General features: G+C 39.9%; 1 protein-coding gene across 1 annotated transcript in view, besides 1 other annotated feature; it reads left to right on the top strand.

Moving 5' to 3' along the window:
• The window catches only part of VWA8 (von Willebrand factor A domain containing 8), a 394,275-nt gene that overhangs the window by 340,127 nt on the left and 40,495 nt on the right, over window positions 1-13,653 (top strand). Inside the window, exons 38-39 of the mRNA NM_015058.2 lie at window positions 5,899-6,007; window positions 9,251-9,407. Of these exons, the coding sequence (NP_055873.1) occupies window positions 5,899-6,007; window positions 9,251-9,407 (266 nt within the window). The remainder of the gene's footprint in view (window positions 1-5,898; window positions 6,008-9,250; window positions 9,408-13,653) is intronic.
• Window positions 5,577-6,569: an enhancer, noted in NCBI's record as "H3K27ac-H3K4me1 hESC enhancer chr13:42188550-42189542 (GRCh37/hg19 assembly coordinates)". NCBI's record gives its function as "activates a minimal SCP1, AML or CMV promoter by ChIP-STARR-seq in primed H9 embryonic stem cells {active_cell/tissue: H9 hESC(primed)}" and the evidence as "EXISTENCE:reporter gene assay evidence [ECO:0000049][PMID:30033119]".

Here is a 13,653-nt window from a genome sequence, read left to right as displayed (position 1 = left end):
ACCAGATTTGAAATCATTGAATCAGTCACAGCACATCAAAGCTGGGTGTAATGGTAGAAATAATTCAGTTTAACCTCCTTAGTTTCTGATGTGAAAATGAAGGTCCGGAGAACTTACTTGACTTGCCAAAGTTTACCAGCAAGTTAGCAAATAGCTTCCACCAGAATTCAACTCTAAGTGTCATTTGACTATTTATTAAAAATCAAATCTGTTTTTAAAGAATACATAAATGTCACCATGAAAGATATTAAAAACCAGCCATAGATTCTGAAGATGCTTCTGAAAGCAGCCCAGAAGTCCTTGGGGCTGTGGCAGGACTATTGTAAAAATTGTGTCTTTCATTTAAAGCAGTGTGTAGAGGGAAATTTATAGCACTAAATGCCCACAAGAGAAAGCAGGAAAGATCTAAAATCAACACCCTAAAAACACAATTAAAAGAACTAGAGAAGCAAGAGCAAACAAATTCAAAAGCTAGCAGAAGGCAACAAATAACTAAGATTAGAGGAGAACTGAAGGAGATAGAGACACAAAAAATCCTTCAAAAAATCAATGAATCCAGGAGCTGGTTTTTTGAAAAGATCAACAGAATAGATAGACCGCTGGCAAGACTGATAAAGAAGAAAAGAGAGAAGAATCAAATAAATGCAATAAAAAATGATAAAGGGGATATCACCACCGATCCCACAGAAATACAAACTACCATCAGAGCATACTGTAAACACCTCTGTGCAAATAAACTAGAAAATCTAAAAGAAATGGATAAATTCCTAGATATATACACCCTCCCAAGACTAAACCAGGAAGACGTTGAATCCCTGAATAGACCAATAACAGGCCCTGAAATTGAGGAAATAATTAATAGCCTACCAACCAAAAAAAGTCCAGGACCAGACGGATTCACAGCAAATTCTACTAGAGGTACAAAGAGGACCTGGTACCATTCCTTCTGAAATTATTCCAATCAATAGAAAAAGAGGGAATCCTCCCTAACTCATTTTATGAGGCCAGCATCATCCTGATACCAAAGCCTGGCAGAGACACAACAAAAACAGAGAATTTTAGACCAATATCCCTGATGAACATCGATGCAAAAATCCTCAATAAAATACTGGCAAACTGAATCCAGCAGCATGTCAAAAAGCTTATCCACCAAGATCAAGTTGGCTTCATCCCTGGGATGCAAGGCTGGTTCAACATACGCAAATCAATAAACATAATCCATCACATAAACAGAACCAAAGACAAAAATCACATGATTATCTCAATAGATGCAGAAAAGGCCTTCGACAAAATTCAACACTCCTTCATGCTAAAAACTCTCAATAAACTAGATATTGATGGAACGTATCTCAAAATAATAAGAGCTATGTATGACAAACCCACAGCCAATATCATACTGAATGGGCAAAAACTGGAAGCATTCCCTTTGAAAACTGGCACAAGACAGGGATGCCCTCTCTCACCACTCCTATTCAACATAGTGTTGGAAGTTCTGGCCAGTGCAGTCAGACAAGAGAAGGAAATAAAGGGTATTCAATCAGGAAAAGAGGAAGTCAAATTGTCCCTGTTTGCAGATGACATGATTGTACATTTAGAAAACCCCATTGTCTCAGCCCAAAATCTCCTTAAGCTGATAAACAACTTCAGCAAAGTCTCAGGTTACAAAATCAATGTGCAAAAATCACAAGCATTCCTATACACCAATAGCAGACAAACAGAGAGCCAAATCACGAGTGAACTCCCATTCACAATTACTACAAAGAGAATAAAATACCTGGGAATCCAGCTTACAAGGGATGTGAAGGACCTCTTCAAGGAGAACTACAAACCACTGTTCAATGAAATAGGACACAAACAAATGGAAGAACATTCCATGCTCATGGATAGGAAGAATCAATATTGTGAAAATGGCCATACTGCCCAAGGCAATTTACAGATTCAATGCCATCCCCATCAAGCGACCAATGACTTTCTTCACAGAATTGGAAAAAACTACTTTAAAGTTCATATGGAAACAAAAAAGAGCCCACATTGCCAAGACAATGCTAAGCAAAAAGAACAAAGCTGGAGGCATCACGCTACCTTACTTCAAACTATACTACAAGGCTACAGTAATCAAAACAGCATGGTACTGGTACCAAAACAGAGATATAGACCAATGGAACAGAACAGAGGCCTCAGAAATAACACCACACATCTACAACCATCTGATCTTTGACAAACCTGACAAAAACAAGAAATGGGGAAAGGATTCCCTATTTAATAATGGTGCTGGGAAAACTGGCTAGCCATATGTAGAAAGCTGAAACTGGATCCCTTTCTTACACCTTATACAAAAATTAATTCAAGATGGATTAAAGACTTAAATGTTAGACCTAAAACCATAAAAACCCTAGAAGAAAACCTAGGCAATACCATTCAGGACATAGGCATGAGCAAGGACTCCATGACGAAAACACCGAAAGCAATGGCAACAAAAGCCAAAATAGACAAATGGGATCTAAATAAACTAAAGAGCTTCTGCACAGCAAAAGAAACTACCATCAGAGTGAACAGGCAACCTACAGAATGGGAGAAAATTTTTACAATCTACCCATCTGACAAAGGGCTAATATCCAGAATCTACAATGAACTTAAATTTACAAGAAAAAGTCAAACAACCCCATCAAAAAGTGGGCAAAGGATATGAACAGACGCTTTTCAAAAGAAGACATTTATGCAGCCAAAAGACACATGAAAAAATGCTTATCATCACTGATCATCAGAGAAATGCAAATCAAAACCACAATGGTATACCATCTCACACCAGTTAGAATGGCAATCATTAAAAAGTCAGGAAACAACAGGTGCTGGAGAGGATGTGGAGAAATAGGAACGCTTTTACACTGTTGGTGGGACTGTAAACTAGTTCAACCATTGTGGAAGACAGTGTGGCAGTTCCTCAAGGATCTAGAACTAGAAATACCATTTGACCCAGCCATCCCATTACTGGGTATATACCCAAAGGATTATAAATCATGCTACTATAAAGACACATGCACACGTATGTTTATTGCGGCACTATTCACAATAGCAAAGACTTGGAACCAACCCATAATAGACGGGATAAAGAAAATGTGGCACATATACACCATGGAATACTATGCAGCCATAAAAAATGATGAGTTCATGTCCTTTGTAGGGACATGGATGAAGCTGGAAACCATCATTCTGAGCAAACTGTCATAAAGACAGAAAACCAAACACTGCATGTTCTCACTCATAGGTAGGAATTGAACAATGAGAACACTTGGACACAGGGCGAGGAACATCACACACCAGGGCCTGTCACAGGGCGGGGGGCTGGGGGAGGGATAGTATTAGGAGAAATACCTAATGTAAATGACGAATTAATGACTGCAGCAAACCAACATGGCATGTGTATACTATATGTAACAAACCTGCACGTTGTGCACATGTACCCTAAAACTTAAAGTATAATTAAAAATAAAATAAAAAGTAAAAATAAATTGTGTCTTTATGATTAAAAAATAAAGTATCTTCTTATTATTTAAAAAAAAATGTATCTTGGCACAGTGGCTCATGCCTGTAATCCCAGCACTTTGGGAGGCCAAGGCGGGTGGATCACTTGAGGTCAGGAGTTCAAGACCAGCCTGGCCAACATGGTGAAACCCTGTTTCTACTAAAAATAAAAAAATTAGCTGGGCGTGGTGGCAGGTGCCTGTAATCCCAGCTACTTGGGAGGCTGAGGCCGGAGAATTGTTTGAACCTGGAAGGTGGAGGTTGCGGTGAGCCAAGATTGCACCACTGCACTCCAGCCTGTGTGACAGAGCAAGACTTCATCTCAAAAAGAAAAAAAAAAAATAGTATCTCCATATGTAAGTTCCATTCTGTTTGTTTTAAAAAAATTTAGACTGTAATCATACCTTTCATATAGTTTTTTTGTTTTGTTTTGTTTTTCGCAGTGCTGGGATTGCAGGTGTGAGCCACTGCGCCCAGACTCATATAGATTTATTAAATTAGCAACAGAATAAAACTGTACCAGTTTTGAAATGTTCTTTGTCCTTCTCATTTCTCATGGAGTACATCTAGAGGGTGCTGCAAAGATCTCTAAACAGGATCTCCAGGTCTGAGGCAAGCTTGTGCCTGAGCTGCGCTGTCTGATGAGATGGCCAGTGGCACACATGGCTATTTAAATTTAAATTTTAGTTAGCTAAATAAAATTTAAAATTCAGGTCCTCAGTCGCACAAGCCATATTTCACATGCTCACAGCCATATTGAGCTAATGGCTAGTGACTACCATATTGGTCACCTCAAATATAAACATTTTCATCAACACAGAAAATTTTATTGATTAGTGCTCTTCTGGAATTCTTGTAGCCAGTATATGTATTTTAATTTACTGCTTATCTCTTACATTATTTATAAACGAGTTGAAAAATGGTGGCAAGTTTTTGGGAAAGTATTTTAAATGTTTTTTTTTTCTCTAAATGTTCCTAGCTATCTTGCTTGTTTAAGAAAACAGGAGGAAAAATTATTTTCACCCATTTTTAGAGCATGATTATGTGTGTGGAATTTATATCAATTGTCATGTCTGGCTGCTAAATTTTCTTGGAGTATGCTGAAGTTTTGGCAAAAACTTTGTTGATCCTGCCGAAGCTATTTGCAGAAAAGTCCAGCTAATTAAAATCCCTACGATGTCATAACACTTGAAATGAACCAACTTGGACGTAAGACAGTAGAAGTTGTCTTGATTTTATTCTGAATGGCCATTTTATTTGCAAAGACCTCAAATTACCTACCTAACTGCATTAATCCCAACATCAAGAATGAAAATCCCATATACCAACATGGAATGGTTAACTCTAAAGACTGACTTCAGGCCCATTTATTTGTAAGCTCTCTTGTTCCACTGTAAGCAGTTTGAGGGCAGGAACCAATCGTCAATGGCTTTGTAGGCCCCATGGTACCTCACAGAATGTTCCATCAGTACATTTTCTTTAAGTCTTATTTGAACAAATGAATGAGAATTTGATCTTGTCTTCTGGGAAATCATTGCATCTGAGAGCAGGCTCATGGTGTGCATAAAATGTGAATGCTTTGATTTATTGTGGAGTAGTATCTACTGAACTGACTACTAGGATTGAAATTTCTGTGTGGTTGTCACTCCTTTTGGTGACACTGTACTGAATGAAATAGGAAGCAATGAACTTCAGGCTCTCACAGAGGAAGGCTAAAGTACTTCTTATTCTATTTGAATTGCAGGAATCATAAATCTAGTTTTACAATAAAGATGAATTAGGAAAGCTACAAAATACCATAATAAAAATTGAAGTGGGTCAAAAAAATAAATAAGCAGTTTTTAGTATATAACATAAATCTATCACTAAGGCATACATACATAACTTTTTGTTTTTCTTTTCCATATATTATATGTAAAATGGCATCTCTCAGAGTAATGGGATTTCTTTGAAAACAGAATGGGTAAGTGTGTATATAATGACTCAGCTGGATCAGCTAGGTGGTGATCCTTTTAAACCACTGGCAAAATACCCCTCTCCAGTGAGATCCATTTTCCCTGCATCTGGTAAGTCTCATGCCATGTGTAAATGCTCACAGCTTGGTTTGCACCAGAAAAATTCTGTAGCTATAATGCAGTCCAGCTCCTTTACTTTTCTTTAAGAGTTTTTTAAAAAATTAGTTCTTCTTCCCAACTAGATGGATGTTGGAATCCATCTGATGGAATTTTTGCCAAATACTCACAGCATTTATCAAGTCCAGTGGCCTGAGGTTATGTGATACCTTAAGGACTTAGGAGAAAATAATTTTTTTTTCTGTCATGCAGTCCCTGGTGTTTGTCACAGGATAGTAAAAATGTCTCAATTGTTCATTTTTAGATAACAATCAACAGAGACAGTGGTGAAGATGTAAGCTCCCCCAAACACGGGAAGGAGGACCCAGACAACATGCCTCACGTGGGCGGCAACACTTGGGCTGGCGGAACAGGTTGGTAGCACAGGCATTCTCCTGAGTCAGCCTTCCCCAGGTTTCCCAAGCCCATTAGGCCAGCACATCGCCCCTGAGAAGACTCAGAGACGGGCTTTCCTTCTCAGCCTCCCTCATTACTCAGTTGGATTGTTGTCTTGCCCTCTGCCCCAGCGTGACATCAAGGCATGTGAAGAGCCTGGCATTTGGAGTCCCACAGGCTCTGCCACCCTGTGACCTAAGAACATGCTGACCCTCCTGGAGTTGCTTCATCAGTCAAAGGGGGATAGTGTGAACTACCTTAAATTGTGGTGAGGATTAAATGAGATTACGATTGTTAAGCACTGAGCACAGTGCCTGGCATGAAGAATATTTTCACTAAAGTGTTAATCCCTTCTTTTAAATTCCATGACCTTGGGATCATGCCAGAAATCCACAGTAAATTCTTTCTTCAGCAACTGACTGAAAAGAAATGGTCCTTGTCTTCCACATCTTCGAAGTACGTTGAGGATGCAAGATTTCGAGATAAGGCTGGTTGCAGTCTAAACCGATGGCCGACTCCTTCCTCTTGGCTGCCCAACTAGGGCATTGTTCCCAGGACTGCCGTCTTCCTTTTTCCTCTGCGGCAGCTGGAGCAGACACATCTGCGAGTCCACAGGAATAGGGCCAGACTGTGTGCGCACTGTCTGAGCTTATCTCACCATGAGGAGTGCTGGCAGGAGCTCTGTACTTCACCTTCCTTAGGATGGTCTGTGCCTCTTGGCCTTGACAGCCTCGGGAGGAAATGGGTTTCTCTGCTTAGACAATGTGCTATCAAATAGGCCTGTGGACTTCTTGCCTACTCTGTTTATTCATCAAGCATCAGCTTTAAAGTAAGGCTATTTTTAGAAATGTCCTTTGATCTGGAAGTTAGCGTCAAGCCAACAAGATTTAATCCATATGGAATGCATTGTGGGACGAGCTGGCCAGATGTGGTTTCCCAGCAGTGGACTACTCTGGGGGAGAAATTCCTATTTGTTACCAAACTTGAATTTACTAGCTCACGTATCTGTCCAGATTGAGGCTACATTTGTTTCACCTGGCTTTTAGTTTTCAATTGATCAAGGCTCCTTGGCTTCAATTTCTCTTTTTCTCTCTGCCATTCTTTTCCCTCAGAATTCTTTACTTTGAACTGAGCTCTGGCCCAACAAGTCATTTGATTCCCCTTTCTTCATCAATGCTCCTCCCTTGCCCACCCTCCCCATTATCTTCTGAAGTGGTTTGGAATGTCCAGGCTTATGCCCTGCAGTCTTAGAACCTCTGGTAAGCACTTTCATTTAAATAGTACAAATTAAAGGCTCTGGGAAGTGGAGATCATGAAGAGCACCTCCTGCTCCACCCCAGTGTGACTTTGCCTGGGGCCCTGCGACTCAGGTGGCCAGTCACTCACACCAGCTTCTGATGGTTCCACCACTTTCTCCCTTTCACCAGAATGATAACATCTCAGCACCTAGGAAGCTTTCAGCTCAAATTCATGATCCACCCATACTCAGGATACCCTCCTGTAGGAAAGGAGTTAGATCCCAGAAACACCTTTTCCTCCTATAGCTCATTGTCACTGTCCAGTTACTGTACCCCTCTGCCTATTGGCTGGCCATGAGTAAGAAATGGGAGTCACACACATCCCAGAAGGAATTTTCCACCACCCATTTCTAAATAAAAGTGAAATATGTTCCAATCAAAAGATTAAAGTAGTGTAATTAATAGGCAGTTCTCATGGTATTTCCCAAAAGGAAATGACCTACCTGGACTTTCATAAGGAAAGCAGTTCATATTGAGTTCTTGGTTTTAGTTTTGTTAGACCAGTTAAAGCTCAGTGGTAAGGTGGAGGTGGGGGTGGTGATGGTGAAAGAAAAATGTAACATAATTTACCCAAAGTCTAAAAGCCTTCAAATTTTCCACTTTATAAAACTAGAAATTGCCTAATTCTGTGTAACTAGGCTTTGTTTAATAATAATAGTAAAAGCAGTCCATTATATGGCTTTTATTATGTGCCAGATACTGCTCTAAGCATTTTAGCTTCATGACAATCCCATGAAGTAAATAATATTAGTATCCCCACTTTATAAAGAGGAGCCTGAGACACAGAGAAGTTAAGTAGTTCCCCAAAGATAAATGGCTGGTGGGTTGGAGCCAGGATTCAAACCCAGGCAGTCTGGTTTAACTATATCATAATATACTCTACAATAGCAGTGTATTATACTATACTGCCCCTCCAATATTGGATTCCCTTCTAAGTTCTCAAGTTATACGTGAATGAACAAAAGAAACAGGTTACTAGTATTCTAATCTACCCCTAAATAGGGGTAACAATCTTATAGCCCAAAGGCCAAATCTAGCCAACAGATGTGTTTTTTTCTCTGGTCCATGTAGTGTTTTAAAATAATTTCAATTTTCATGTATTTAGACAAGGTAAATCCTAAGTTAGCCAATGTCCCCACCACTTTTTATCATATGACCTACCTGGCCTTACAGGCATTTACAATATGAACAGTTCATACAATGTTATGTTATAAAACGTAATATGTATATGTAATATGTATTATGTAAACTTGAGTTTCTATTGAAAGACTGTTCTAAAGCTGATGGTGTTTATGTTATATATTGTTCAAACCAGAAGTCAAAGTTGGTGTAATAATTGGCTTCTAATCTTGGCTAAGCCAGTGATACGAGGTCCTGAATATGTCATTTAGCCTCTCTGTGCATTATTTTTATAATTTGCAGAACAGAAAAAAACAGTATTTATAGCTTAACTGTCTAGGTTTTTTAAGGAAAACTAAGGTAATATGTGAGGGAGGGAAACAGTTGTTCATTTAATTAGCAAATATATACTAAGTATCTATGATATTCAAACCACTCTTATAGGTGCGGTAGTGCAAAAGTAAATAAAATATCTCATCCATCATATAGTTGGTGAGAAAAATAAATATGAAAGGATAACAAATAGTACACAAGAGTATGGATCCTTATGAGGTAGCAGCATTAGCTAAGGTGTCATAGAAGCTGGAGTAAGCCTTGATATATAGGTAGTATTTTAATGGATGGGAAAAAGGAAAAGCATCCTAAACAAGAGAATACATCTTTTTCCAGAAGGTAATTTGACTGTTTAATTACTAGTTAAGTACAATTAATATCCTCCACAAGGCTGTCCTAAAACCATGACCCAACTTTTGTTCTGTGGTCAAGTTCAGATTTATCATCTGAATTTCCACGTTTTCCTTCCAGGGGGAAGAGACACGGCAGGCCTGGGTGGCAAAGGAGGCCCTTACCGGCTGGATGCAGGCCATACGGTGTACCAGGTCTCTCAGGCTGAGAAAGATGCAGTTCCCGAAGAGGTCAAGAGAGCTGCTAGAGAGATGGGCCAGAGAGCATTCCAGCAGAGGTCAGTGCTCCCATCACATTTAGACCAGCACTACTGCTATGGTGAAATGTCATGATGGACTGTGGGGAAACCTAGATTTGTGTGTGTTTCCACCTCCACCTCATGCAGCAACTCGGACCTCAAACTGAAATCCACAGCCATCCCCGTCCCTAACGGAAACAGCCAAATAAACAAAATCACCTGTTCTTTCTACTCAGGCTCCTTAAAATCTAAAGCTCAAATCGCCCCATCCATGTCTATCTGTTCCTAGGCAACATAGGGAATTCAGGTAAGTCTACACAATGGTCCCTTCCTGCCCTCAGAAATCTTGCAGATTAGTGCGGAGACAGGACAAGGGAACATACATACACACATGCACAGAGTTAAGTGCTAAAGTCATAGGGTGCGGAGGCTGTCCCCTCCAGCAGTGCAGAGAAAGGCAAGTTTAGTGGGCTGATGTGAGGTGGGGCCAGAGCTCAGCTAGGATTTAGAGATGGGAAGAGAAGAGCTAGGATATTTCAGAAAGGGAAAACTAAATGAGCAGAGGCACCAGGGCAGGATGAGCATAGTGTCTATGGAAGAGAGAGGCAGCTAGCCCACTCAGGATAATGGGTACCAGCTCGGGAGGAGGGACAGTGAGTTTGGATAGGGAGGCCTCATCAGTGAGTAGAGGCCTTAATCTAGGCCAGTGAGCCTGTGGCCCTCGGACATTCCCCAGCTGTTCTGGGCCACTACAATAGGAGCCATTTAAAAAATAAGAAGAATCCACATGATGTTACCCTAGACATCCACATGTGTGCTTCAACTAAAAGTGAAAAATACCAAAGAACCACCAGTATTTCCTTTTAGATTCCAGGACCTGGTAGTAGTTTGGGAAACAGATTTACATTTTTGTGCTGCATGAAAGGAGATGGGCGCAGTTAGAAAAAAGCATGCTAAAATGTATGAGTTATGAAATTCCTCCCACGTAGAACATCTGGTATTACATTACATGCTGTGCTTCCACATCCTGCAAGTAAACAGTACAGGACAATAGAGACAAGAATGCAGGCCCTGCCGCCACACCCTCAGGAAAGCCTGCCAGCTCAGACCCTCGAGGGTTCAGCAGGTAAATAACACACTTGATGCTAGAGGCAAGAGTGTTGCTCTCAGCCCTTCTGCTGGCTTCCCTGGTGACTGTTGACAGTTTATCTGTCCTCTTTGTGCCTGAATTTGCTCTTCTGGAAATAAAATTCACTCTCCCTTTCTCCCAGGGAGGTTATGAGAACAGGTAACTATGTTAGGAATGAAAGTGTTTATGCCTCTCAAAAAAGGGTAGAGAATAGTGTAGTGAACAGTCTTGTTAGAATGAAAGTTCTCTGCATTTCTTATGAATTATAAAGTACCCATTTAGAAAAAGAACTAAACAATTGGAAATGTGTCATTCTCCCCTCCGCAATTAATGAGTTCTGTTGTTGCCACCCTTAAAACCTGCCAAGTAATTGTTCAGTCTAATTTTTTGCCCAAGTGGACAGGTAGATAAGAGTGTTCTGGCACACACATAGTTCACAGGGAGGCAGAAAGGTAACAGTGCCTGGCCACAAGTATGTACGCCCTTCTCCTGTTGCCATAATAGGAGTAAGGAGTGTGGTTCTCTTCAGGACAATTGCCCTACAGGGGAAGAAGTAAGGGGCATCTGTGCCCTTAACGCAAATGAATTTAGCGGATGTAAGAGAGGAAAGAGAGGACATGGGGAAGGGATGAGGAAAATGTACACCTCTAGTAAATGCTGCAGAGAAGAGTCTCAGTTGAAGTAAAAGAGAATACCGTAAGGTGGTTGAAAGACAGAGGAGTTGGCCAAGCGTGTGAGAAAGGAGAGAAAGAAATAGAAACACATGGAGATCCTGAGAAAGATGGGGCACAGCAAAACACCAAGAGAAAGATGTTGCTTTCTACTTTCATGTAGAAATGGGACTTTCATCCCATTTGGTGAATATTTCATTTAATGCTGCTGAAAATTTTTCAACCTTTTACTAGGAACTTTTCAAACATAAAAGTTGAGAGGAACATATAATGAATGCGATGGACCCGACCCCCCAACTTCAAGAGGAAAACTCTGGCTCTACTCCTAGTCTTCTCTGCTGGCTTGTTTTGAAGCTAATCCAAGACTTCTATCATTTCATTGTCAATATTTCCAAGTGTATCTGCATAATATAAAAACAAAAAAATACAAACTCACAATACTATTATTAAGTCTTTAAAAAGTAATAATTCCTCGCTATCATCAAATAATAGGTTTTAAAACGGTTTTGCCACTTAGGCATATGCAGAATGAGGTCGGTTCCCACCATTGATGCTTTTATGGCATCCTGTACCTTTTCTCCACAACTCTTATCACTCTTTCCCGTTATGTGATTTGTGTGAATAATTGGTTGTCTCTCCTCTGACTGTAAGTTCCTGGGGGGCAGGCATCCATCTGTTTTGTGCTCTAGTATAACCCCAGGACCTACACCAAGAACCTGGTATGTAGCAAACCTTCATATGTATTTGTGGAATGAATGACACACACGTGCATACAAGTAATGGAATCATCCTTTAGTACTTAATTCAGAGACTGGCTGAAACTAGGCAGTCCTAGCTGTGAGCCAGAAAGTTTGTGTAGTGCCTTGGAGAGCCTAATGCTGCTAAGTGGGTTCCTGACATCATCAACACAGCATTTTGATAGCATCTGTTTATATCTGGTTTTAAGCTAGATACCAGCCCTTACATATCAAGAATGTATTAACTCAGGCAGACTAACAGAGAGAGACAAGCATAAAACATGAATAAAATAGAACAGAAACATTATACCAGTGAAAAGCAAATGAAATAGACAATGAGGTACATGTACACACTTAGAAAAGCGTCTAGGGTAGGCACCAGCTGTGGAGATTGCATCCACTACCATTTGCAAAACTAATCAGCCTCACACAGTGGATCTAAGCTTATGTTTGTTTTCCTTATAATTGATTCAAAATTATAGTATTTAAGTGTGACCTATAAGAAAAAGTAAAATGAGAACTAAAATTCCCAGACTCTTACGTAACAATAAATATAACCTTTAAAAATATACTGTGCCAACAAAATGCAGTTAGTCCACAAAGATTACTAGGATGTGAAGCAGCTGTGCCCTGCAGTTTTGATCAGGGTTAAAGAAGCAGAAAGATATGTTTCCAGCTAGTTTTGTGGGCCTGAGAGTATTAGCAATGGGTACCTCATTTGATCCAGAGGCTAAAATTTCTTTTCTTTCTACATCCCTTGCTTCAGTCATCATCTTTCAAAATTTATCAGCTTTGATTGCCTTGTAGGTGATCTTTCTGAAAACCGACACAATCTGGAATATGGTTTCCAGATTTCTTCATAATTAAAACAGCATGTGGTGTGTTTTGGGTGCAACATGATCGCACCAGTGGTAGGCCTATAACTGAAGCTAATTCTGATCACTCTGCAAAGATCAGTCTGCTCGAGGTGGCTTACCAAATGGCTAGCTCCTTCCTTGATATGTTTGTGTGTATGTATGTACATATGTGTTTTTATGTGTGTATATAGGTTTGTATTTGTGTATACACCTACAACCCATACCTCCAACATTGCATGTGTGTGTGCGTGCACACACACACACACACAGTAGTTTAGAAGATTGTGTTGTGGTTAGGCTTTTGAGACGTATGTTCATTATTCCCTGTCCTAATATCAGTACCTTTTATATTTATAGAAGTATATGGCATATTACCTAACATATAATGGATGCTGAAAATGAATTGAATGGCTGAAATAAAAATACAACTCAGGATTATTTAAAATGCAGCATCTTAAACTAACTGTAAGTAGAAAGTTCATTTGCTGGGTGACCTCTCTTGGGTTTTACAGAGTCGTATCCATAATGCGCTAATTTAATCACATATTTCTATATATTCTCTCCTCCATCCCCTCCCCACCCCACAGACAGCTGTGTCTACATTTGTTTCTAATCAGTGCTAATCTCACTTATTTGAGAAGAAGCATATTGACATATAAACACACACCGGTTTAGGTATGAAGGGGTAGGTGGCATGTCCTGCATTGTTCATTGTGCCCAGCTTCTGTCAGCCTTGATACTTGAGACATAACTTAATCTAATAAAAAGTCATAGAGAGATTTCAGAGACTGCCAGAAACTAAATACAAGAGGTATTGTCAGGAGGTCAAGTTCTATACACATATTTCTTTTTATTCTTCAGGACTGAGAGTTAATTAGATTTAGAAAGGCA

The sequence above is a fragment of the Homo sapiens genome, chromosome 13 (assembly GCF_000001405.40).
Source record: "Homo sapiens chromosome 13, GRCh38.p14 Primary Assembly".
In the NCBI taxonomy this organism is placed as follows: Eukaryota; Metazoa; Chordata; class Mammalia; order Primates; family Hominidae; genus Homo; species Homo sapiens.
This window is presented reverse-complemented; position numbering and strand designations above follow the sequence as displayed.